This window comes from Homo sapiens, chromosome 7, assembly GCF_000001405.40.
Source record: "Homo sapiens chromosome 7, GRCh38.p14 Primary Assembly".
Lineage (NCBI taxonomy): Eukaryota > Metazoa > Chordata > Mammalia > Primates > Hominidae > Homo > Homo sapiens.
Window position 1 is genome coordinate 92,304,567 of NC_000007.14, and position 24,398 is coordinate 92,328,964.

At 35.3% G+C, this 24,398-nt stretch overlaps 1 protein-coding gene across 1 annotated transcript in view; it reads left to right on the forward strand.

Moving 5' to 3' along the window:
• ANKIB1 (ankyrin repeat and IBR domain containing 1) overlaps positions 1–24,398 on the forward strand; it is a 155,410-nt gene that overhangs the window by 58,593 nt on the left and 72,419 nt on the right. The window contains exons 3-5 of the mRNA NM_019004.2: positions 2,793–3,090; positions 14,764–14,946; positions 23,217–23,334. Of these exons, the coding sequence (NP_061877.1) occupies positions 2,793–3,090; positions 14,764–14,946; positions 23,217–23,334 (599 nt within the window). The remainder of the gene's footprint in view (positions 1–2,792; positions 3,091–14,763; positions 14,947–23,216; positions 23,335–24,398) is intronic.

Here is a 24,398-nt window from a genome sequence, read left to right on the forward strand (position 1 = left end):
AAATGGGTATAAGAAAGGCTAGATAAATGTGTTTGTACAGGGTATTTACAGAATCAGATAGCTTTAATAATTTCTTTCTTAATTAAATTTTTAAGAAAATGAAATCTTTTTTTGTCAATCATGCCTTGTAGAAGAGATAATAATCTTGAATACATTTTAGAGTATGGTTTTAATTTTGGCTATCCACTATAATTCAATCATAAATACAAGGAAATATGACTGGGAATTTTATTATCAGCGGTTGAATAGGGAAAATATATATTTTAACTATTAAGCAACATTATGGCTGTATAAAAAAAATTACCCATATTCTTGCCTCCCCTAAGCAAATGTTAGAATTATTCCATGTTCCCTTATAGTTTGTATCCATGTATATTCAGAAGATTGAGAAGGGAAAGGGAAATTCTATTCTTATATTTCCACTTAGTTATAACACTCGTGGATAGACTTTAAATGACTATAATTTTCTATTGTATATCAGATTTATGTTTCCCATTTCTATTATTAAACGCTTAAGTGATTTCCAGATTTTTCTGTTCAAAGTAACACTGTATTGATTTTCATTGTTTCTATAGATTTTTCTTTATTTCCCTTAAGATAAACTCTCAGGAGTAGTTTTACTCAGTCAAAGGATGTAAATCATATATTAGTTGTTAGGAGCTATTATGTAACTTGCCCAAGGTGACACAGCTAGAAAGTGACAGAACTAGGATTAGAACCTAGCAGTCTGGGACCACGTTCTTAACCAATGTACTGCACTGCTGGCTCAAGAGATTCCCCAGTCCCATGTCACTGATCTAGGTCATGAAAGTTTAATATGCATCCAATTCATTTATCAAAATTATGGCATGAATTTGCTGTGTTTGTGACACTGTGTTGGGGATTCAAGAAAGAACAGAATATAGGCCCTGCCTTAAAAGCCTATAAACTATTTGGGAGAAGGGAACAGACAGGTAAAAAAGTATGATAAAATGTAATGAGTTATGTAATTGGGATGCTATATGAAGACAAAGAAAAGAGTGGCAAACTGAACTGGTGGGGGAGCCTAGTGTAAAGAGGCTTCTAAGTAGTGTTGGTTTGCTTAAGTGGCCTGAATCAGTTCCTGGGAAACCAAATTGAGCAAGTATTGAAGTGTACTGCCGGCATCAGAAGACCATAAAGGCTACATGGAGCTGTAGAGAAAATAAGCATGTAGAGAAAACCTGAGCAAACTGTACTAAAACTTGGAACCTGGACAAAAAATGAGCTTTGGAAATTAAATTATGGCTGAATAGAGGTTGAGGACTGCAGAGAGATTTACTGCCCGTGAGATATGTATTTACATTTGCAGGGAATGAGGAGTGGATGATCCTCGAGACCATGGAAGTATTCCTTAAGTTGTAAAACCGAGAGATGCTAGTCTTATCTTTCCCCTAGGAAAATTTGTTTTTGCTCAGGGATAGATTCTTCCTCCCACCCACCACCCCGCCCCAGGCCACCCCACCCTCTGGTCTCCAAGAGGGGAGGAGGTCTGTTAATACAAGCCTTCTTCTATAACATCCCAGATTGATATTTTTAGGGTTCCTTGCTGAGTTAATTTCCTGTTGCTGCTGTCACAAAGTGCCACAAATTAGTGGCTTAAAACAACACAAATCTTACAGTTCTGGAGTTCAGAAGACTATAATGGCTCCACTGAACTACTCTAGGTGTTGGCAGCACTGCATTCCTTTTGGAGGCTCCAGGGTAGAATCCCTTCCCTTGCCTTTTCTAGGTCAACTACTAATCCTGTGACTCATTTTAGGAGCTAGGCACAACTCTTAGATCTGGGTTTGGCAGTAGTAAAGGCAACTCACCTAGACCTATCTTTGAGATAAACACTCACCGTGGAATTAGATCTTAGTCTTCTAGATCTAACCACAACTCCCCTCAGAAAGTATTATACTATGTGCTGTGGTCTGAATGGGGCATTGGAGGGTAATTAGATCACGAGGTTGGAGTCCTCAGGAATGGGAGTAGTGCACAGAGACATGGTGGGAGTAGTTGCCCCTTCCACCATGTGAGAGAACACAAGAAGGCCTCTATGAGGAATGAGCCCTTACCAGACACTGAATCACCTGGCACCTTAATCTTGGACTTACCAGCGTCCACAACTGTGAGAAATAAGTGTTTCTTGTTTATAAACCATTCAGTTTATGATATTTTTATAATAGCTCAAGCAGATTAAGACATCGTGTAAATATATGCCTTATTATTTCAAAGGTTAGCTGATGACCTTGGTGGAGAAAATTTTCTCTGGATTTAGTCTCAGGCTTACATATTACTTTCTGTCCTTAAATTAGTTGCCACTAATATAGTAGTTGTTGTCACTATTAAATAACTATGTATGCAACAAATAGATCAGAGCAATAAAAGAAGAATTAAAAATTAGTGTGGAATGCTTAATACACCCTTAGGCATCTGTATAATTGACATTAATCTGTAAATTACCACTGTGTTTTCTTTTCCTGTCCATTCCTCACCTGTTATATTTCTCATCTTCCTTTTTTCTTCCTTTTCCCTTCCTTTCCCTCCCTTTTAATTAGCAAGTAGTATAAAGATATTTACATTTATTTTTCTTAGTATTGTTATTCTAGAATAGAGTTTTTTAAAACTAAGAATTAGTCATTCAAGCTGTTGTAAACCAGACCCTCAGTATAAATTGGATTATCAGCTTAGAAGTAGAGTTTATCTTTTAAAAGTGTTATCTTCAATGTATTTCAAGGTAGAAAATAAGTGATTTTCATCCTTTATTTTTCCCTTTCTTTCCATTTTAGGACTTTTCTTGGTAGAGATGGAAATCCAAATAAACGGAATGTGCACAATGAAACATCTATGCATTTGTTGTGTATGGGACCTCAAATTATGATATCTGAAGGAGCCCTTCATCCTCGCTTGGCACGCCCCACAGAAGATGATTTCAGAAGAGCAGATTGTCTGCAGATGATCTTAAAATGGAAAGGAGCAAAACTTGACCAGGGTGAATATGAGAGAGCAGCTATTGATGCTGTTGATAACAAAAAAAACACACCCTTGCACTATGCTGCTGCCTCAGGGATGAAAGCCTGTGTAGAGGTAAATTTTTTTTTTTTTTAATATTCTGCATTGTAAAATTTGTATCCAGGTGATATGTAACTGTCAGGTTTTTTTTTTTTTGATTGTCTTAGTAATTTGGTCATTTTTTTTCTCTTTTGTCTTCTAAAAGACCCTTTTAAATAAAGGGCCTCTTTTTTTTTTTTTTTTTTTTTTTTGAGACAGAGTCTTGCTCTGTTGCCAGGCTGGAGTGCAGTGGTGTGATCTTGGCTCACTACAACCTCTGCCTCCCAGGTTGAAGAGATTCTCCTGCCTCAGCCTCCCCAGTAGCTGGGACTACAGGCACGCGCCACAATTAGCCCAGCTAATTTTTGTATTTTTGTATAATTTAATTTCCAAAAATTTCCAAAATTAGCCCAGCTAATTTTTGTATTTTTAGTAGAGACGGGGTTTCACCATGTTGGCCAGGATGGTCTCCATCTCTTGACCTCGTGATCCACCCACCTCAGCCTCCCAAAGTGCTGGGATTACAGGCGGGAGTCACTGCGCCCAACCAACGGCCTCTTTTAAATAAAGTTATTTCATTGTTTTAGGGAGAGAGAAAGCCTCACAGGTGAACAATCACTTTTGTAGTAAAGTGGAGCCAAGAGCAATTAAAAATTTGTTGATATCTCTTAAGATATTGGTCATCAATTAAGCACTATCGTATTTAGAGTCATAGTTATAGTAGAGATATATTCTGCTTTTTTGCTGATTTTTTTGGTCACCAATTTATAAAATTTATACATGTTAAGTATAGCAAATTTTTGGCAAGTGGGACCTATAGTTTATGTAGAATTGATAAGCTCACTAAGCAATGGATAAATATTAACAAATACATTTATTGGAGTCTTTTTAAAATCACTTGGAATTTTAAAATGTGTATTTTTCTGTTTAATTTGCGTTAAAGTGCTCCTGAATACATACTGTATTATACTGTAATTTTTCCATATATATTTCATGTATAAATATATAGCATTATTTATATCTACAAAATATTTAACAACTAATTAGATAAAATCACGCATATAATATGAGATCTTAACTAAGTTAAGGAATCATTATATAGTATCGTCACTACTATACATACAACAGAATAGGTTTTTCTCAGCTACCAACATTCATATCCATCCTTACATATCTCATAGAAGTTCTTTTGCATAGATGTATTTAAGTATGTGTGAGGAGCATATTAGACTGGATTACAGAGTATCTTTATTACTAAAAGTATATACCTTTATTGGAAAAGCAATTATCATAATCAGATTAAAATATATACCTGAAAATTTCTTGTTTCCTTAATGTTGTTCATGTATACTTTAGACTTCTAAGTAGATCAATATACCAAAAATATGAATGTTCATTTTCTTATATTAAAAGATTACCATCACTTATATTATTTCTTCAGTATATCTGAAGTGTCAATTCTTTGATTTCTAATATGCTTGTGATCTTATCTTTTGTTTACTGCTAATGTTTGTGATACTTGCTAATCTTTTAGAGTCTTTGTCATTTCATTGAGTTTGTGTAACCTTTACCCATTAGTTAGTTAGTGATGGTCATTAACTTGAAACTATTTTTCAAGCAATACTTTCTTGTTTGTTTGTTGTTTTAAGAGACAAGATCTCTCTATGTTGTCCAGGCTGGTCTCAAACTCTTGGGTTTAAGCGATCTCCCTCCCTCATCTTCTGGAGTAGCTAGGACTACAGGCACACACATGCCACCAAGCCTGGCTCCAATGTTTTCTAACGTTGATTCACTGTGGTGGAAGAATCTCCTAGGATTTGGAGGGTAGGGGACTAATAGCAGAATTCCTGGGGCTTTTTACACAAGCTTCTCTGTACATTGTCCTGTGTTTACCTATTGTGGAAGAATTCCTGCTATAATGACTCACCATTATTGATGGGACTGCATCATATTTCTCAAATGGACTGGAGTAGAAAGTAGATTTTTCTGGATGGTAGCAATAGTGCTCTTAAATATTTTAAATAGGCCGGGCACGGTGGCTCACACCTGTAATCCCAGCACTTTGGGAGGCCGAGGCGGGCAGATCACAAGGTCAGGAGTTTGAGACCAGCCTGGCCAATATGGTGAAACCCCGTCTCTACTAAAAATACAAAAATTAGCCAGGCGTGGTGGCAGGCACCTGTAGTCCCAGCTGCTTGGGAGGCTGAGGCAGGAGAATCGCCTGAACATGGGAGGCAGAGGTTGCAGTGAGTCAAGATGGGGCCGCTGCACTCCAGCCTGGGCAACAGAGCGAGACTCCATCTAAAAAAAAAAAAAAAAAAAATATATATATATATATATATAAATTAAATGCTTTAATATCTTGCTTCCAACTTTTCTCTATAAGCATTGCTTTAGTAGTTGTTGATTTTGAAGTATGTTGACAATGACATACTTATTAAATTTTTCAAAAAATTGAGAGTGGTGTTTTACCAGCATTATTTTTTGCTCAGTGAAAGAAATTAGTGCCAGGTTTATACTGTACTATCTGGCAGGCCTGACAATTTGCTTGATACGTATGTGTGAGCATGTAAATGTGTGTGTGTGCTTTAACTGTTTGACCTATCAGCATATCACATCACATAAGTCACATCATTTGATGATTGTTTTCATTTTCTGTATTCAGAAGAGCTCTTTGACTTACTATTAAATATAAAACATTCTAAAAGGAGCCCTATAAATACCTTACATTTATTCTAGTTTTTTATAACATTTCAGCATATTTTATTCAGATAAAGCTTATCTTTGATCTGTTATATATACTTGAGTATATATACTCTTGTCCAACCTTAGGCCCTTAATGATTTTCTATTATGCATACTGCTAATTAAACCAGAAGAGTTTCTCAGGGAAGCATATATTAACTATCTCCAGAAGCCTTATTTTGTTTTCTTGTACAAGTGCATACAATAAATACAGTTGTCACTTGGTATCCAAGGGAGATTTGTTCCAGGACTCTCTGCAGATACGAAAATCCACAGATGCTCAAATCCCTTATAGAAAATGGCACAGTATTTGCATATAACCTACACACATCCTCCTTATACTTTAAATTGTCTCTAGATTGCGTATAATACCTAGTACAATGTAAGTGTCGTTAGGGAATAATGACAAGAAAAAAACGTGGATGTTCAATACAGACACAACCATCCATATTTGTTTTCCAAATATTTTTTACCTGCTGTTGGTTGAATCCAGGGATGTGGAATCTAAGGATGTGGAAACCACAGATAGAGAAGGCTGACTATACATTAAAATATGTGACCTGTTTAACTGTACAACTTAATTCTTAGTATGAGTCTCTAGTTATTTTCAGGTGGTATCATACTACTTTGATGAACGGGAAAGGCTTAGATGTCTCTTATAAAGTTTACTGTCATAGTTAATTTAAATATTTTTTTTCTAAACATTTCTTTGTATCATTGCTTTTAGTCTTTGGCTGTAAGAATAATAGTTATAATAACTAACATTTGTATAATGCTTTCTGATGTTTATAGTGCTCATTGGTACCAAGCATGATATAAAGGTTTGGGTTGAGTGAAAGTGTCGTCAGATATTTATTAATGTTTCATAAAACTAAGAGATTATAGTATGGTGGAGGGAGCATTGATTTTTAGTCTTGATCCTCAGAGTAACTATCCATGGAACCTTGCATGTGTCACTCAGCCACTGTAATAGTTTCCTCTTGGGTGGTTGGAATAGATGATCTCAAATTTATTTAGAAGATTCCTTTTAACACAAATTCTCTATTAGCCTGTTATTGCAGTAAAATTTATCCCATTTTTAGTGTCTAGCCTTTAAGATCAAAGAGATTATCTTTTTTCCCATTGTTAAGGCCAGCCTGTTTCTTGACTACATCTGTGGAAGTATATCTTCTCTAGCTGTCGAAAATGTTTTTCTCTCTGGTATATTTATTTAAGGATAGAGTTGATGAAGTCATCATTGGCATTTAATAATTTAAACAGTTTCTTATAGCTCATTATTTTGTACCATAGAAATAAAATATTTATTTTAAGACTTCACCATCTCCCTGTAATAATTATGTTCTGTAATAAGCGCCCCCCCCACACACACACACACAGAACATAAAATTAAAACCCCTTAATTATAGAGTTCTTCAGGCAACCTCCAGGTGTGAAGGTATCACATGGTATGTAGAGAGTTGCATTGGTTATCTGTGTCTCTGATGCCTATATCTGACTTCTCTGAACTTCATGCTATATTGTTGCCTGGTTGACTTCCTCGTATGGATATCCAACAATCTCTCAAATTCAGCGTTTTCAAAATTGTACTGTCTTCTTTTCTACCCAGTAGAGACTTCACTAGTGCTTGATTCTTGACTCTAGATTCTATTAATGATGCTACCATTATCTCCTTATCCAGTATTGATACCTGCACTTGCCTTGGATCTGCCTCTTTTTTTTAAATTGCATCAAACTCATACTACCCATGGCAGAGTAGACCTCTGTCTCTTTGGACCAGTTCCTCCATTTATTTCTGTGGCCACTTTCTAACACCAAGTGCTTTATGTTGAATCCTCATTTTGGCATATTTTTCAGAACTTCCTTACACAGAAAAACCTGAAGTTTCACAAATTAATTATTCTAAATTATTTGTGAGATAAAAATAATGCAAAGGAGTAGTCTACAATTGTTTGACAATTAGAAATGCTTATATGATAAACATTTGTTAAGGACAGACTATAACTAAAGCACCTGAAATTCTAATTTTATTTAATATTCCAAAAATTATTTACAGGTCAGCAAACTTTTCTGTGAAAGCCCAGATAGTAAATATTTTAGTCAACTCTGACATTTTACCCTGAAAGCAGCCACAGACAATACAGAAACAAAAGAGAATGGCAGTGTTCTAATAAATCTTTATTTATGGACATCACCATTTGAATTGCTTATAATTTTCGTATGTCATGAAATAATTCTATTTATTCTTTTCAATCATTTGAAAATGTAAAAACTGTTTTTAGCTTGTGGGCTATACAGAAACAGGCAGCAGGTTTGATTTGGCCTAAGATGACTCCATACTTGAAGCTTATTTTAAATATGTAAAATAACATTATCAATATGTAACAGGTCCTATAAGCTTCAGTTATACAAAGGACTTAAAAAGTACTATGTAATGGATACTCAGCACACAAAAATAAAGCTCCATTAAAACATAAGTCTGACAAAAATTTAATAAATAATATACTGTTCTTAGTTACTGAGAGTTTTTGTTTTCTACTTGGGAACAGGAATGGACTTGAGAGGGGTGGTGGGTTAGGTCTATTAGCATGGCTTAGTAAAACATCCAGTGATATTTCTTCCTTTGGTAGACTTCCATAGAGCAACCCTAGTCATTAGGCCTCATTATGTTTCCATTAGTGCTTAACCTGTAATAGTGATTCAGTAAATGGTGAATGTGACAGGGGTTGTTTTTGATAGTGCTTTACTCTTTGTGAAAAGCATTTTTTTAAATGAGTGTTATCTTAGATATTTCCTATTCAGCTGTGCCCTACTTGCTTATTCAGAGTTTTAAGTGTAGCTGCTTCATGTCAGATCAAATAGAGGTCACTATAAAACCAAAGGTGGTAAGTCACACTTTTCCTTTACAGCTACAGGGCCTATTTGACACTTTGGCAGCTATGGGAGCGTTTCACACTTCATTGAAAAGTCGTAAAAACCATTCACAGGTCAGACTGAAGAATATTACCTAATTATATTGTGTTTTTAGCACCTAGAGTTTTAAAACTGTGTAAAGAATACAGGAATTATATTTCCGGTTCAGTAGCTGAGTAACTTTGCCTGTCTGGGCCTCTGTTTTCTAATTTTTAATCAAGATACTTATGATCTCATTATTGTCCCTCAACTATTATGATGCTAAGGCCTATATTAACTATTTAGGCAGTGACTGTTACAGGTATTGAAGAGATAATTTTTTAATTTTACATATCCTGGAAGATTTCATGGGTAGTAGTAAGATTGGAGTGGGTAATATTTCAGTTTAAGTATTTGGAGGAGGCTATTCAAAATGTGGCTCTCAGACCTGCAGCATCAGTTCTGACAACTTGTTATAATAAACAAATTATTGGGCCAACCAGACCTTCACATTCTGAACGTTTATCTCTGGGAATAGATTCCAGAAATGTTTAGCAAGTTCTCCTGGTGATTATTTGCATGGCAGAGTTTGAGAAGCACTGTTCTAGGTCTCAGACATACGCAGATTGAAGTATTTTGTGGAAGAGTAATAAAACATTACTTTAAAGGAGGATAGAGGATGTACCAAGTAGAAAGTACTAAATGCCAAGGTTAAGAATTTGGGGTTTCTTTTAGAGAAAATTGAGCCATTGAAAATTTTTTGGCCAAGTGCAGTGGCTCACACCTGTAATCCCACTACTTTGGTTGGCCGAGGCGGGAGCGTATCTTGAGCCCAAAAGTTCAAGATCAGCCTGGGCAACATAGTGAGAGCTTGTTTCTACTAAAAATCAAAAAATTAGCCAGTCGTGGTGATGCACGCCTGTAGTCCCAGCTACTCAGGAGGCTGAGGTGGAAGGATCACTTGAGCCCAGGAGGTGGAGGCTACAGTGAGCCGTGATCATGCTACTGTACTCCAGCCTGGGTGACAGAGCGAGATGCTGTCTCCAAAAAAAAAAAAGAAAAAGAATTTTTAATCGGAGAGTGATATTATGAAAGCAAATATGATGAGATTAGCCTGATGGTTGTAATGTACAATAGATTTGAATGGGGTACTTCCAAAGCAGTGTTTCTTAAAAGCCTTGCTACTCAAAAGAATCGTCCTTAGACTGGCATTGACATCAGTCACCTGAGAACTTGTTGGAAATGCAGAATCTCAGCTCCATCCAAGACCAACCAAATTTGAATGTAGTTTAACAAAATCCCAAAGGGATTCTTATTTAAAGCTTGAGAACCCTAGCTTGGGGCATAATTTGTGGGCTACCTATATTGGAATCACCTGTAAAAAGTATACATACCTCTTACAGTCCCCTCTCCATATCTACCTAATATGACTATCAAGCTACCCAAATAATTCTTACACAGTTTGAAAACCTTTGTGCTAGAACAGTAGTTCTAAGCATGGCTGCACAGAAACCTCAGACCAATAAAATCTAAATTTGTGAGAGGGGACCCCAGACATTGGTAAGTTGAGTACCAATGTATTAGAAGGAGTGATAGGAGTTAGAAGATTAATGCGCTAATTCTATTGTGAACTGACAAAGCGTCTGGGTTTGTGTGGTGGTACTGGAGATGGAAAGAATGAGGCAGATGCCAGGGACATTGTGAAGAACTGTTAGCCTTTGGTGACTCAGTCAGTTGATAATAAGAAAGCAAGGGAAAGAAAGGTTAAAAAAAAAAAGGATGGAGGCTCTATAATGTTTAATATTGACAATAGTGAGCTCTCTCTTTTTGATTTGTGTACATTCTCTATACCTGCTATCACATCTATAATTAGAGTAAAATTAATTAACTTTATTTTTAAATAAGATGGGCATGATTTTGAGCCCAAGTGACTTCGAAGCCTGCTAACAATTAACAGACATTAGAAAGTAAGGTGAAATGGAGAAATTGGTTGAAAGGAAGAGAGAATATATTGAGTTTTCATTTAGAAGGCTAGATATTGACATCCTAGCTTATCCACATGAAATGGTAGGCAGGCTGTTGATAATTACAACTAAAGTGTTAGGGAATAAAGAATATAGACACTCATTTAGAATTTAGAATTGAGTGTTATCTACATAGAGTTGACAGCTAAAAGCAAGATAATGTATAGATGAGAGATGCAAGGAAAAGACTTTAGGTTATAGATAAAATAACAGAGTTAAAGTCACAGCATCAATTTGAAGAATGCCTGTGTTCAAAGAGATGAGAACAAGAAGTAGTGCCTATGAGGGAAACACAAAAAATAGAGAAATAAAAGAACCAAGATGATACAATGTCAAAGATGCAAGAGAAGAATTTCAAGGAGAGGAGCTGTTTAATCATGTAATGTGCTGCAGAAAGCTAAAGGAATTGGGGGGACTGAGAAACGCTGATAGATTTGAGAGTTAGGAGGTATTAATGACTTTCTGGAATATTGTTTCATTAAAATAGTCCAGGTAGAAGTCATATTCCTGGGCATAATTGAGTCATTTGCTGAGGAAATTGAGAGACAGTTGGTATCAATAACTAATTTGAGAAATGTGAAGGCCAAGAAAGATAGAAAATTTTTAGGAAAGTAACTAGAAGGATAGCAGGATTAAGTTATAATCCTGAGTAAGTCAATCCAGAGTCACCACCCATTTAGAGGGTGATCAAAGGGATGGGGTAGGGTTTGTCTTGAATAGTAGGGGTTACCTCTCTTAAAGCCCCCTACCCCTCTTCCTCTGGAATTGTGAAGGGAAAGAAAGGCAGAATAGAAGAACAGATGTGCTGCGATCATGATAATTTGGTTTCTTTTAAGGTAGAACATTTTATGTGCCACCAAGATAGGCTTAAAACCATATTTAAGTAAAATATTCAGTCCTCCTATTAAGCCCTCCTTAGCTAATTTGAGACTGGGAAAGCAGATACTTAGTTGAGATGCTTTGGTTGAAGCATTTAAAAAGTACTCTTCAGAACCAGACATAACTTTCTATTTTGTCAAAGTAAGACACCTAACTTTATTCCACAACACTTTAGCAGCTATCTCCCCTTAATGCATCTTTTACTTACTGGTGTTCCTGACTTTATGCCGTAAAGGTCAGCAAGCTGAAGTACTTTTTAACACATTCTTCTCAATGTCAGGCATTATTGCTGTCAGCTGTCTTCCATGCCAAAGATAACATGCAGGTGGATTTTCATAGCCAAGTCTAATGCTACAAACATGGATCCTTCCATTTCATAATTGATTATGAGTTTCTCTACAGGTGCCAAATGGCAGCAATGAGATACAGGTCTTTATGGTTCCCTCACCCCAACTGCAGTCAAACTCATTAGGGAGCACCTTGCAAAGATAGTTTACCAATCATTCTCACCCAGGTTCTAATAATGGTCAGCAGTTACCTTCAACGATGACTTCTCACACATCCCCTCTTCACACACATTTTTTTAACCCCCCAATGAATGAAGTCCACATTCTGGCATATCCTTTTAATAAGGTTCCCCTTACCAAGATTCTGTTAGGGTACAGCTTCTTAAATTTTGTTGTCTTTGCTTTTGTTAAGGAAGACTAGGGCATTAAGTTAAAGATGATTTGTCTTGTTTTCTAAAATTTAATATTTTTTGTGTGGTAATATCTGTTGCAAAGTAAACCAAATCCTGATTTTGAAAGTTATCCCAGCATGCATTTTAGAAATAATTTTCTGGGACTCTGAATAAAGAACTCAAGAATAAAGTCAGCTCTTTAGTTCTGCAGCAGTCAGGAGCAGATAGTCTATTTTGTGTTTAGGTGTTGGTAACCTGTGAAACAGAGAGGGTAGAAATAGTAATAGATCCTGCTATGGATATGATAAGTCTCTGGATTTACTATAAGTTCCCCGTATTGAATAAATTAGGTAATATAAATTTATCAGTTTCCACAGCCACATTGGTTGTACTTTAGGCTCATTGCTTCTCAAACATTTTTGTGCAAAAAGAATCTCTTGGAGATCAGAATGACATTTTGATTCAGAGGCCTGGGCTTGGAGGGGTTTGGGGATGAGGCTGAGATTCTTCATTTCTAACAAATTCCCAGGAGATACTACTGGTCCCCAGACCACACTTGCAGTAAAAAGGTTCTAGGTGGTAAATAGCAGCTGCTAAGACCTTGCCCTCGGAATCTAGAAGGTGGCTGCCAGAATGACAACTTAGAGCCATTCTTAGCAAACATTTTTCTGTAAAGGACCAGATAGTAAATATTTTAAGCATTGTGGCCATAGGTCTATATTTCATAGTCTTGTTTGATTTGCTTATTTTTACAACTTAAAAACCACCTTAGCTCTAAGGCATACCTCTGGCTAGAGCAAGAAGCTAAAGTCAAATCCAGTGGGCTTGTCAAGTTAGCCCATGGCTTCCAGATCTGGCATTGATATAAGCCCGTTGTTTTGTAAGCATTCTTAGGACTGTAGGAGAACCGTGAGGATTCCCGTTCCAAAGAACTTTATAGGAAGATTGTGTGTTTGTTGAGGAGAGAAAGAAGATAAAATTATTTGGAAGAAAATAAAAAGAAGCTACCATTTTGATCAACTCATGCGAAATGAAAATCTCTAAAAAGTGTTAACATTTAGATCATAAGTAAGAGTCTGGGCAGAACTTCAAGATGGACCCAGAATGCATTTCACTTCGATTTATATGATTAGTCTACCTACTTACGAGTCAGTATAGTGTCCAGTCATGGTTAAAAACTTGGTCAGACTTGTATCTGAATCCCAGTTCTACTGCTTACTAGCTGGGTAATTTTAGTTAATCAAGCTACTTAACTATTCTGAGATACAATAATACCCCTGTTTTATGGGGTTGTTAATATTAAATGAGAGTGTGTGCTTTAAAGTGTTTAGAAAACAATAAATAGTGACTGTTACTATATTATTATGAGTATGACTGAATCCTATAAAAGAATCCTGTGGCTGGGCGCGGTGGCTCACACCTTTAATCCTAGTATTTTGGGAGGCCAAGGCGGGTGGATCACCTGAAGTCAGGAGTTCAAGACTAGCCTAAGCAACATAGTGAAACCTCATCTCTACTAAAAATACAAAAATTAGCTGGGCGTGGTGGCGGGTGCCTGTAATCCCAGCTACTCGGGAGGCTGAGGCAGGAGAATCACTTGAACCCAGGTTGCAGTGAACCAGAATCATGCCATTGCACTCCAGTCTGGGTGACAGATCAAAACTCTGTCTCAAAAACAAAAACAAAAATAATCCTGTGACTGTCAGGCTGTCCATTAGAGTTGTCCTAGACATGGCTTTCCTGGCATTCATGCCCTTCTTAATATCTTTGCAGACATAATGGGAAACTTGAACCTACAGTCCTTAATAACAACATACTTAATTTCTGCAAAGCTAGCAGAAACCTCATTACTAAACAAGTCAAGCTACTATTCCATGTGTTTTTAAAGGTGGGATTTCTTTGGGTCAAAGAGAGATGGATAGACTTAGCTTCCCAATATGGCTATCAGTAGCTAGTCCCATTACTTATTTTGAAGAATATTGAAAACAGCTTTACCTCAGTGACTTGCTCATCCTAATTTCATTTCAGTGTTTCACTGGATAATGAATGAAACTTTTGTCTGCCATGCCAGGACATCCAGACTTTAGTAGTTAAATTAACAGTATCAGCAGTGTCCTTGTTTAAGAAAGATTTATAGAAATTATAAGAAATTTAAAAATTTAAAGTACTGAGTAACTATAAGCTTTTTCAAATTTTATTTTTGGACTACACAAAATGCTTAATTTCTGAAGTTTAAAAAATTGGTTTTGGGTTTTTTTAAATTATTTTTTAACAAGACGAAGTCATTCATTACTGAAAAACAAGAATTACTAATCTTAAAATCAGAAGCCACTGGTATCTAAATACCTTTTTTTTTTGTCATTTCAAATACATACTGTACATACTGTTGCATTTTTGTTGTGTTAATTTTATTATATTTTTAATGTTTTAAAAATAGCATGAAATAACTTATTTGAACCTGTAGTTGCAAGTTTTTGAAAAAAAACTTTTTTAGCTTTTAGTAAAACATGGAGGAGACTTGTTTGCTGAGAATGAAAATAAAGATACTCCTTGTGATTGTGCTGAAAAGCAACACCACAAAGATTTGGCCCTCAATCTGGAATCTCAAATGGTATTCTCACGGGATCCCGAGGCTGAAGAAATAGAAGCTGAATATGCTGCATTAGACAAACGAGAGGTCAGTTTATTTTTTCTTCTCAGTAAAAAAATTACATGTAATTTTAGATTTTATGTTGTTTTGTATTTTTCTTCTTTAAAACTCAGTTTGTGTGTTCTTCTTTACAGTATTCTAAATATCCTGTCATCTTCATAGCCATAAAGTATAAAAATACATCTAGGCCAACCACAGTGGCTCATGCCTGTAGTTCCAGTGCTTTGGGAGGCCAAGGCACCGGAGTTCTGAGACCAGCCTGGGCTATAGCAAGACTCTATCTACAAAAAATTTTAAAAATTTGCCAGGAATGGTGGCCCACACTCATTGTCCTAACTACTCAGGAGGCTGAGGCAAGAGGATCACTTGAGTCCAAGAGTTCAAGGCTGCCATGAGCTATGATCATGCCAGGACACTCCAGCCTGGCGACAAAGTGAGACCCTGTCTCTAACTTTAAAAATAAATAAATAATAACATCTAGGAAACCTGGAGCTATGGGTCTTTTGTCTATCATATATGAGTGTGTTTACTTACAAATAAATAAGGTGCTGATGTGAGATATGAATCCCATTTACTCCTCCTACTACAAGACTCCAGTCCTCCTGTTCATCAGTCTCACCTTCTCTTTTGGATTGATCATATCAACAAACATGCTTTGGTAGATCCCATCTTAAAAACAAAACAAAAAACATAAAAGCAGCCATTGACTCAACCCTTCCCTAGCCCTGTCTCTCTTCCCCTTTAGTTGTAGCCCCATATCATCTTCTTATGAGAGAACCACTTCCTCACTTTCCATTCACTCTTTAGCCCACTGCAGTATGACTTTCTTCCCTTCTACTCTGATGGAACTGCCCCCCGTCATGGAGTGACATGTTGCCAAATTTAGTAGGTACTTTTCTGCCCTCATCTTACTTGAATTCCTCAGTGGCACTTGATGCAATTGACCAATCCCTTCTTAATGAAACACTTTCCTCTTGGCTTTGGGGACAACATTCTCTTCTGATTTTCCTTTATGTCTTCCCGGTCTCAATAAATATTACCTCTGTCCACTGAGTTGCTCAAGCATAAATGGGGGAAGCATTCTTGATTCCTCACATTTTCTTAATCATCACATCCAAACAATTGGGGAATCCTGTCAATTTTACCTCCAAAAATACAACCTAAATTCATTTGTTCTTCCTAACCTGTACTCCTACCTCTCTAAGCCCTCACCACCTTCACTTCTTATCTGAGCTACTGTAATAGTTTCCTTACTGGTCTTCTTCCTTCTATTCTTGTATCTTTAGAATCCATATTGTACACAGGATTCAGAATGACATTTTAAATGTTATACATATCATTTAAATCATTTAATGATTTTTCGTTGTACTTAGAATAAAATCCAAACTGTTTGCTCAGTTGTAAGCCCTTATGTGATCTGACCACTACCTACCTTTCCAGCATTATCTCAGACCTTTTTTCCCCGGCACACTTTGCTCTAATTGTAATACCTAGACTACACCAAGGCATTTGCAGTTGTTCTTTCCTATGTCTGAAATCTCGCAGTTATTTTTTGCCGTTCTTTCTAAAATAGGTCTCCTCTCTTCCCGTTATTCTTTACTGTATGCCCTTTTTATTTTAATTTTTAAATTTTTTATTAATATTTTTGATTGAAAAATAATAATTGTATACATTTGGGAGTATAGTGTTGTGTTTTGATATGTATATACAATGTGGAATGATTAAATCAAGCTAATTAACATATCCATCCCTAACTCACCTATCATTTTTTAAAGATGAGACATTTGAAATGTACTCTTATTTTGAAATATACAATACATTATTATTGGCTAAAGTCACCATTGTGTAATAGATCTCAAAACCTATTCTTCCTGTCTTATCTGAAACTTTATACCCCCTGTTTATTTTTCATAGGACCTATCACATGCTATAATTATTTTATGTATTTTGTTTACTTGTTTATTGCCTTTCTCTCCTATTAGACTGTCAATTCCATGAAGGCTAGAGCCATATCTGCCTATTCAGCAGACTGTTTTCAGTGTTTGAAACACTACTTGCACAAAACAGGCATCCATAGATATTTCTTAAAGAAATTATAACACAGTAAATTTTTTCCTCCCAAAAGGATTCTGATTCCTCAGTGTTTAGTGCTAACTTGATTCTAAAAGGTATTATGTAACTACTGGTTTGTACATGTTTAGAAAAATAATCATACAATTGTGTTGTTTATTTTCCCCATGGATTCCCAACAATTTCGGAGCTTTATACTCTCCATATGGCCAAAAGAACTGAGTTTCTTGGGATTAAAATTTACTTTTTAAAAAATCTTTGTTTCTGTAGTTAGGTTATTTTATAGGCAAGCTTATTCAGATTAAGTACACATAGAAAGACAGAAGGCCTATGCCCTAAGCGTTTTGCTGGCCCTTCACATGGTTATTTAATCCACATGGGAACCTTGAATGACAGTTGTGCTCTCCTCCCCACCTTTTTTTAGTGAGGAAGTAAACTAGAAAATAACTGAATAACTTGCCAGAATCAAAGTGAGCTGAACTTGATTCTTCTGACTTCAGGTCCAAACAACTTCCGTTTGCCATATTGCCTCCTTTTTGACAATCCATTATCTTGCGTCAAACAGAAATTTTTACTGTAATAATTAGTGTAGTCATTTAGTCAGAAGACATTTAAGCAGTAATATTCCAGAAATAATATTGATGTAATTAAACTGCAAGACATTTAGTTTTTTCCCCAAAATACCATCTTATTTTAATTTATAATTGAATCAGGTAATAATAGTAGGCATTATCAGTAGATTTAATATCTAAAAGGACTTAATATAACTAATATTATGTTAAGAAAAAAGTTACAGAAAAGTTTGATGCTAATTCTATAGGAAAAACTACTATGTACAAGAAGAATATTGAAGTATACCAAAATGATCATTATGATTATAGGTAATCTCCTTTACAATTATTATTTTGTCTATTTTCATGCATTTCCTGACATTTATAATGAGTATTTATTGCTAAAAATGTAAAATAATTTCTTCATCCTGACTGTATCCCCGAGTGGTAACAGTTTCTTAAGTGTACTACCAGACTTAAGCAAACATATATGTATATTGAATTTTTAATGCAAAAGTAAGATCATGTCATATATTGTATTCTATATTTTTTCAACTTAACAATATATCATGAACATCTCTCCTAAGTCAGAACATACAATCTACATATTTTAAACATTTACCTATTGCTAAACTTCTAAGTAATTTATATATTTTTACCTTTAAAAACAAGGCTGCAGTGAATATTTGTCTGATATATATCTTCTTTATCCAATTGTGCCATTATTGTAGTTAAAAATACAGATTCTAGAGCCAGACTGAGTTCATATCTTTGCCTGATGGCTGACTTACTATGTGACCTTGAGCAGATTATTTAAACTCTCTGCCTCAGTCTCTTCTTAAAATGAAGTTAACAGTCCCTACCTCATAAGGTTATAGTGATCCTTAATGAGTTAATATATGTATAAGCTTTGACCAGTGCCTGGCTCATTTTCAACATTAGCTAATTGTCTGCTGCTATAATCATGATTATTACTTCGTAGTCGTCATTATTGCATTGTTTACACATTTTAAAAGTATAGTTCCTATATGTCTTTAGAAATTGATTTGATGGGCCATAAGATTTTAAACTTTGTCAGATGCTCTTAAGCTGTCCGGAAAGATTATATTGATTTACTTTTATTTCATTAGTATATTAGAGAATCTTTTTCTCCACATTCTTGCTAGCATTGAATATTATCAGTGTTATTATTTACCCAGTTTGGACAAATAAATGGTACCTTGTTTATTTCTCTGATTATCGTGTAAATTGACTGTTCAGTTGTGCATTTTCTATGAAGTTTGTTTTCTTAATGCTTTCTAAGAGAACTTTGTGTATTTTTCCATATCCTAAGTTTTTTACTTATATGGTATTCAGAGTTATAACTTTTTTTCCTTTTTGTCTTCTGAATTTGTGACTTGCTAATACTATGATCACATGTCCCTGTATTTTTCTAGTTTTGTAGATTTTTTCAACCCATATTGGATTTGTTTTGTCTACTATTTTCACAATGTAAAGAGTAATACTTTCATACTCAAGTAAATACCTATATTACCTGGATGTTTATAACAGTACTATTTGTAATAGCCAAAAGGTGAAAACAACTCAAACGTTTATCAACTAATGAATGGGTAAACAAGATGTGAGATATACACACAATAGAATATTACTCAGCCATAAAAAGGAATGAACTACTAATACACACTATATATAATATGGATCAACCTCAGAAACATTATGCTAAGTGCGAGAAGCCAGACACAAAAGGTCACATTTGAATGATTCCATTTATATGAAAGATCCAAAACAGATAAAAGCCATAGAAACAGAACTCATATGCTGGACATTGCCTTAGCTGGCTACCTGGTTAGCAGGTTTAACCTACTCTGTTCTGCAGGAGCTGCTGGCTTCCTGTGATGCTCAGGCAAGAACAGCTGAATAAGGAGCGAGAAAACTAAAATGCCAAGAACTAGGGGCAGGGAAGAGAAGGAGTGACTGCTTAATGTTTATAGGACTTTCTTTTGGAGTGATGGAAATGTTTTTAAACTAGATAAAGGTGGTGATTGTACAACACTGAAAATGTTCTAGATGCTGCTGAATTGTACACCTTAAAGTGGTTTATTTTATGTTATGAGTTTTACCTGAATTTTTTTAAAATTATTTTTTGAGACAGAGTCTCACTGTGTTGCCCAGGCTGTAGCACAGTAGTGCGATCTCAGCTCACTGGAGCCTCCACCTCCCAGGTTCAAGCCATTCTCCTGCCTGAGCCTCCCAAGTAGCTGGGATTACAGGCGCCCACTGCCACACCTGGCTAATTTTTGTATTTTTAGTAGAGACAGGGTTTCACCGTGTTGACCATGCTGGTCTTGAACTCGTGACCTCAAGTGATCCACCCACCTCGGCCTCCCAAAGTGCTGGGATTACAGGCGTGAGCCACCATGCCTGGCCCCCTTGAATTTTTAAAAACATCAATGCTTTCTTTAAAACTTATATTTGTACCTTCTACTTTGACCCTGGTTGACTTCTGGATTATTTTGCCTATGCTGGTGATTTTACATGGCCTGCTGTGTGATTATATTAAGTCATATGTTTAACTACTTTTAAAAATTTATGTTCTGAAGGTGAAATGTATATTTCAGCTGAGTTTTAATTTAGTTAATGATCTGGACAGTGTATATTTCTATAACTTCTTAATTTAGTCTTTTCCTTCAAATAATTAAACTATAAATGGGTAAAATCCACCTCTTATTTCCATCATTCAACAAAACTGAGTGACTGCTAGACACTGTTTTAGATGCTTGGAGGAACAAAGATAAGTGACTACACTCTAGGTGTTTACGTTCCAACAGGGAGAGAGAAACACACAAATAAGTTTAAAAGTAAGTGAACATGTAATTTTGGAGAGTGGGAACTGCTATAAAGAGATTTCTTAAATGAGGTATTTATGTGATGGCTAGGAAGAGTGTGTGTTCAATGTATTTAAACACCAAAGGGAGAACAGAAACATTAGCGAGTATTAGACCTAGGTTGGGGTCAGATTCTGTAGGAGCAGGACTGTGTGACTACATCTGAGTGTATGGAGGGAAAAGTGGGCAATATGCTGCTATGAAAGCCCATCTAAAGAATCATCCTTCCCTTCCCCACTCTTAGTCTATATAACTTAAAAAGGCTCAACGTTCTTTTTCTGGCAAGAAACTCATGCTGGACATTGCTGGCTACATTAGTTAGCAGGTTTAACCTGCTCTTCTCTGCAGAAGCTGCTGGGTTTCTGTTATTTCAGAGTACAGCTCAGGGTAGCCTAGGTCTTGATGCCCAGGCAAGAACTGCTGAATAAGGAGAGAGGAAGCTGAAATGAAGGGAAAGGTCAAAGAATCCTAAAAACTTTCCTGGCTATTTTTTCCACCCTCCCTCCCAAGCTAAGCTCATGGATCAGCTAATGAGAGATTGCTGTTAAAGGGAATTAGAAATATCCTTTCTCCCTGAACATCTAAACATCTTTTAAACTTTTAACAGTTACAGTTACTTTTGGGTAAATAAGTGCCTATTCTTTTTTTTTTTTCTTTTAACAATAAACATGTTTTACCAATAGGGAGGGGAGGCTATTTTCCTTGTGAAAAAAATAAAAACAAATACTTTCATAACTTCTTTATGTGACAGCCTTTCTGAAATAATTTTTGAAGAGAACTATTTTATGATAATATCAAGGTAGTGCAGTTTGTATAATAGGCTGTTTCACAATCTTTCAATGGTCTTTTGGTAGCAGTAGTATGCACTAATGCAAAAGAGGTAATTTTATTCACGTTTCTTTTTAATTTAGTTTTCTTTTTCTTTCTTTATGTCAGTACTGACTGCTTTGAAGGTTATTGCTGGTTTGTTTAGTCTGAAAATGGAAGCAGTTTATCTTTGCAACAGGAAAGAGAAAGGTACTTTCATTTTAATCTGTCTTGCAGAAGAAAAGTAGTGCCCACTTGGGACTGAGCAATGTGTTGAAATGCTTCACATGACCTAATTACAGTTCTGTTGTGAAGATTCAGAGTGGATATATGTTCATGAAGGCAGTATGTCTTTGTCCTTTAAGAATTATTTTTCTTCCACTGTTACCTATTGAAGTTTAAAACTGCGTGCATTTTAAAAAACTGGATCTATGCAGATTGTTTCATATTATCCCTTCTTTCTTAATTTACCTAAAATTAAATCTTCACATATATCATGTCAGAACTGCAAGCAAAGCTAATTTTCCCCTATAAGTTACTTGCACTGTCATTCTCTCGATAACACTAATCTGGAGAATCATGATTAAATTCACCATTTTCTCTCTCCCTATTTGGTTCAACGTAAATGAAGTCGAATGATGGATAACCTGAAAAAGAACATTTAGGATATAAGACCAGGAAATACACAGTTGCCACCATTAGAAATATCAAGAAATATTCACTGTCATTTCTGAGGCAAGGAGAGGTACCCAGAATCCCAAGTCTGGATTTGGAATACATTTTCTAGAAGCAATGTATGACTTCTGTACTAGAATGAGTAGTACTAATTTAACCATTAAAGAGTTTATTAGGTTTTTGTAGGAGAACTCATGTTTCATAAATTAGCTTAAAAGCAAATTGTATGTAATAGTTTGGGGCTTTTCTAAAGATAATTTGGATTAAATTGCAGTGCCTCTTTCTCTCTTATTTAATAGTATTCCTGTATAGAAAAGTTTTGGTTAACTTTCCTTTAAAAAAAAAAAATGAGGTCTTACTATGTTGCCCAGGCTAGACTGCAGTGGCTATTCACCGGCATGTTTATAGCACACTACAGCATCAAACTCCTGGGCTCAAGTGATCCTCCTACTTCTCAGCCTCCCTAGTAGCTGAGACTATGGGCATTCACCAAGTTCTGCTCCATTTCTTTTACATTGATAGAATACCCAAAACTGTGCCTAAATGAACATACATATTCATACCCAGTTGATTTGCAGAAAGAACAGACTGGACAATAATACCCAAGAACTTGAATAATGATTATTGCTTAATGGTGGAATTATAGGTTTTTATTTCTAATACTTTTTGTATAATCCAAAATTTTAAAACTGTAAGATAAGATGGTCTTGCCATTATACTATGATATTTTATTTTTAGAATGATAAGGTACATGAGTCCCAGTATCTGCTTTGCAGCATGAAAGAGACTTGTGAAAAGGCAGTTTGAAGTCCATGATAGTGGAGCATTAAAAAAGCCTTTTGAACTTTAATAACCAAATTTAAATAGGAAGATTTTAAATGATAATCATGTACAGTCATCCCTCAGTATCCTTGGGGATTGGTTTCAGGACCCTTGTGGATACCAAAACCCACAGATACTCAAGTCCCTTATGTAAAATGGGGTATAGTATTTGCATATAACCTATGCATATCCTCCCATATACTTTAAATCATCTCTAGGTTAGTTATTAACTAGTACAATGCAAATAATATGTAATTAGTTGTTATACTGTGTTATTTAAGGAATAATGACAAGAAGAAAAGTCTGTGCATGTTTAGTATAGACACAACCTTTTTTTTTTTCCCAAATGTTTTCAATCTACAGTTGATCCAATCCGTGGAATGTGGAACCGTGGATACATTGGACTGACTATATATTGTTTATAGGCATTTTGATAACTTCCTATGAGTATAATGCCCATTTAACTTTATTTTTTTTCTTTTCAAAGCCATATGAAGGATTAAGGCCTCAGGATCTTCGTAGACTAAAAGATATGCTTATTGTGGAAACTGCAGACATGCTTCAGGCTCCTCTCTTTACTGCTGAAGCTTTACTTCGAGCTCATGGTAATGAAAGAAATGTCTTATGCTTCTAAGAACATGAGTAACTTTTGAAACTTCTGAGTTTTTAAAAGGGCTATTTTTGTATTTGAATACAGAACAAAATGGTTTGTTAAAAAAGCCTAAGTTGTGTTTTGTGCAGTTGTTACTTCTATACTCAGTTCCTCATAACATCTTGTATTTTGAAGTATAAATTGGCATATATCTAAGAGGAGACACTGGAAAATTCTTTTTAGAAATTGAGCTACTAAAGCAAATTATAGAATGTCTAATTTTAGAAATATGTCTAATTTGAGTGAGATTGAGCATTGAAATCCATAGTCCTAGCCCTGGTTTTGACATTAATTTTTGCTGAAGTCATTCAAGTATAAAATTATGGTAGTTCAATTAAATACCTAAGAATTGTGCTATTAGTATTGTCAGTTGTATTTATTTTATATGGTAGCTATTTCTCCCCATGAAGTGCACAAAGTGAAGTTAAAGGGTCACCTTGGAAATATATTGTCCCTTTTAAGGGTGGTTTTCTTGTTTCTTTGTTTTGTTTTGTTTTTTAGACATAACTAACTTTATATAAGAAAATTTTCCTAAGTGCTCAGTTTAAGTTCCCTATAATCCTTATGACAGGCATTCTGGGAGCTCTCACATGCTGGATTGGATCTTCTCATTGCCCACATGATATATGACATTTTGGCTGGTTTCATAGAAAAGTATTTTCTGGTTTAAAAATATTCTTAAAAAGATAAAGGTAAATGCAGGATTTAAAAAATAAAAACTAAAAACACATTTAAAAAGAAAAGTAAATGGCTATTCTATTCCAGTCATTTTGAGGCCCTAGCTGGCTATTTTAACTATAAATCTTTATGATCTATACTAAAATAGAATGCCATCTTCCAAAATTTTTATATAATCTTTTGATCAGAAGAAAATGTAAAACTCCCTATTTTATCATTCATTGATCACCACTGTTAATAATGTGGTATACAACTCTCCAGAATCACTACCAAAAAAACATATATATGGAATATATATATTATATATAAAACATATAATATATATATACACACACACAA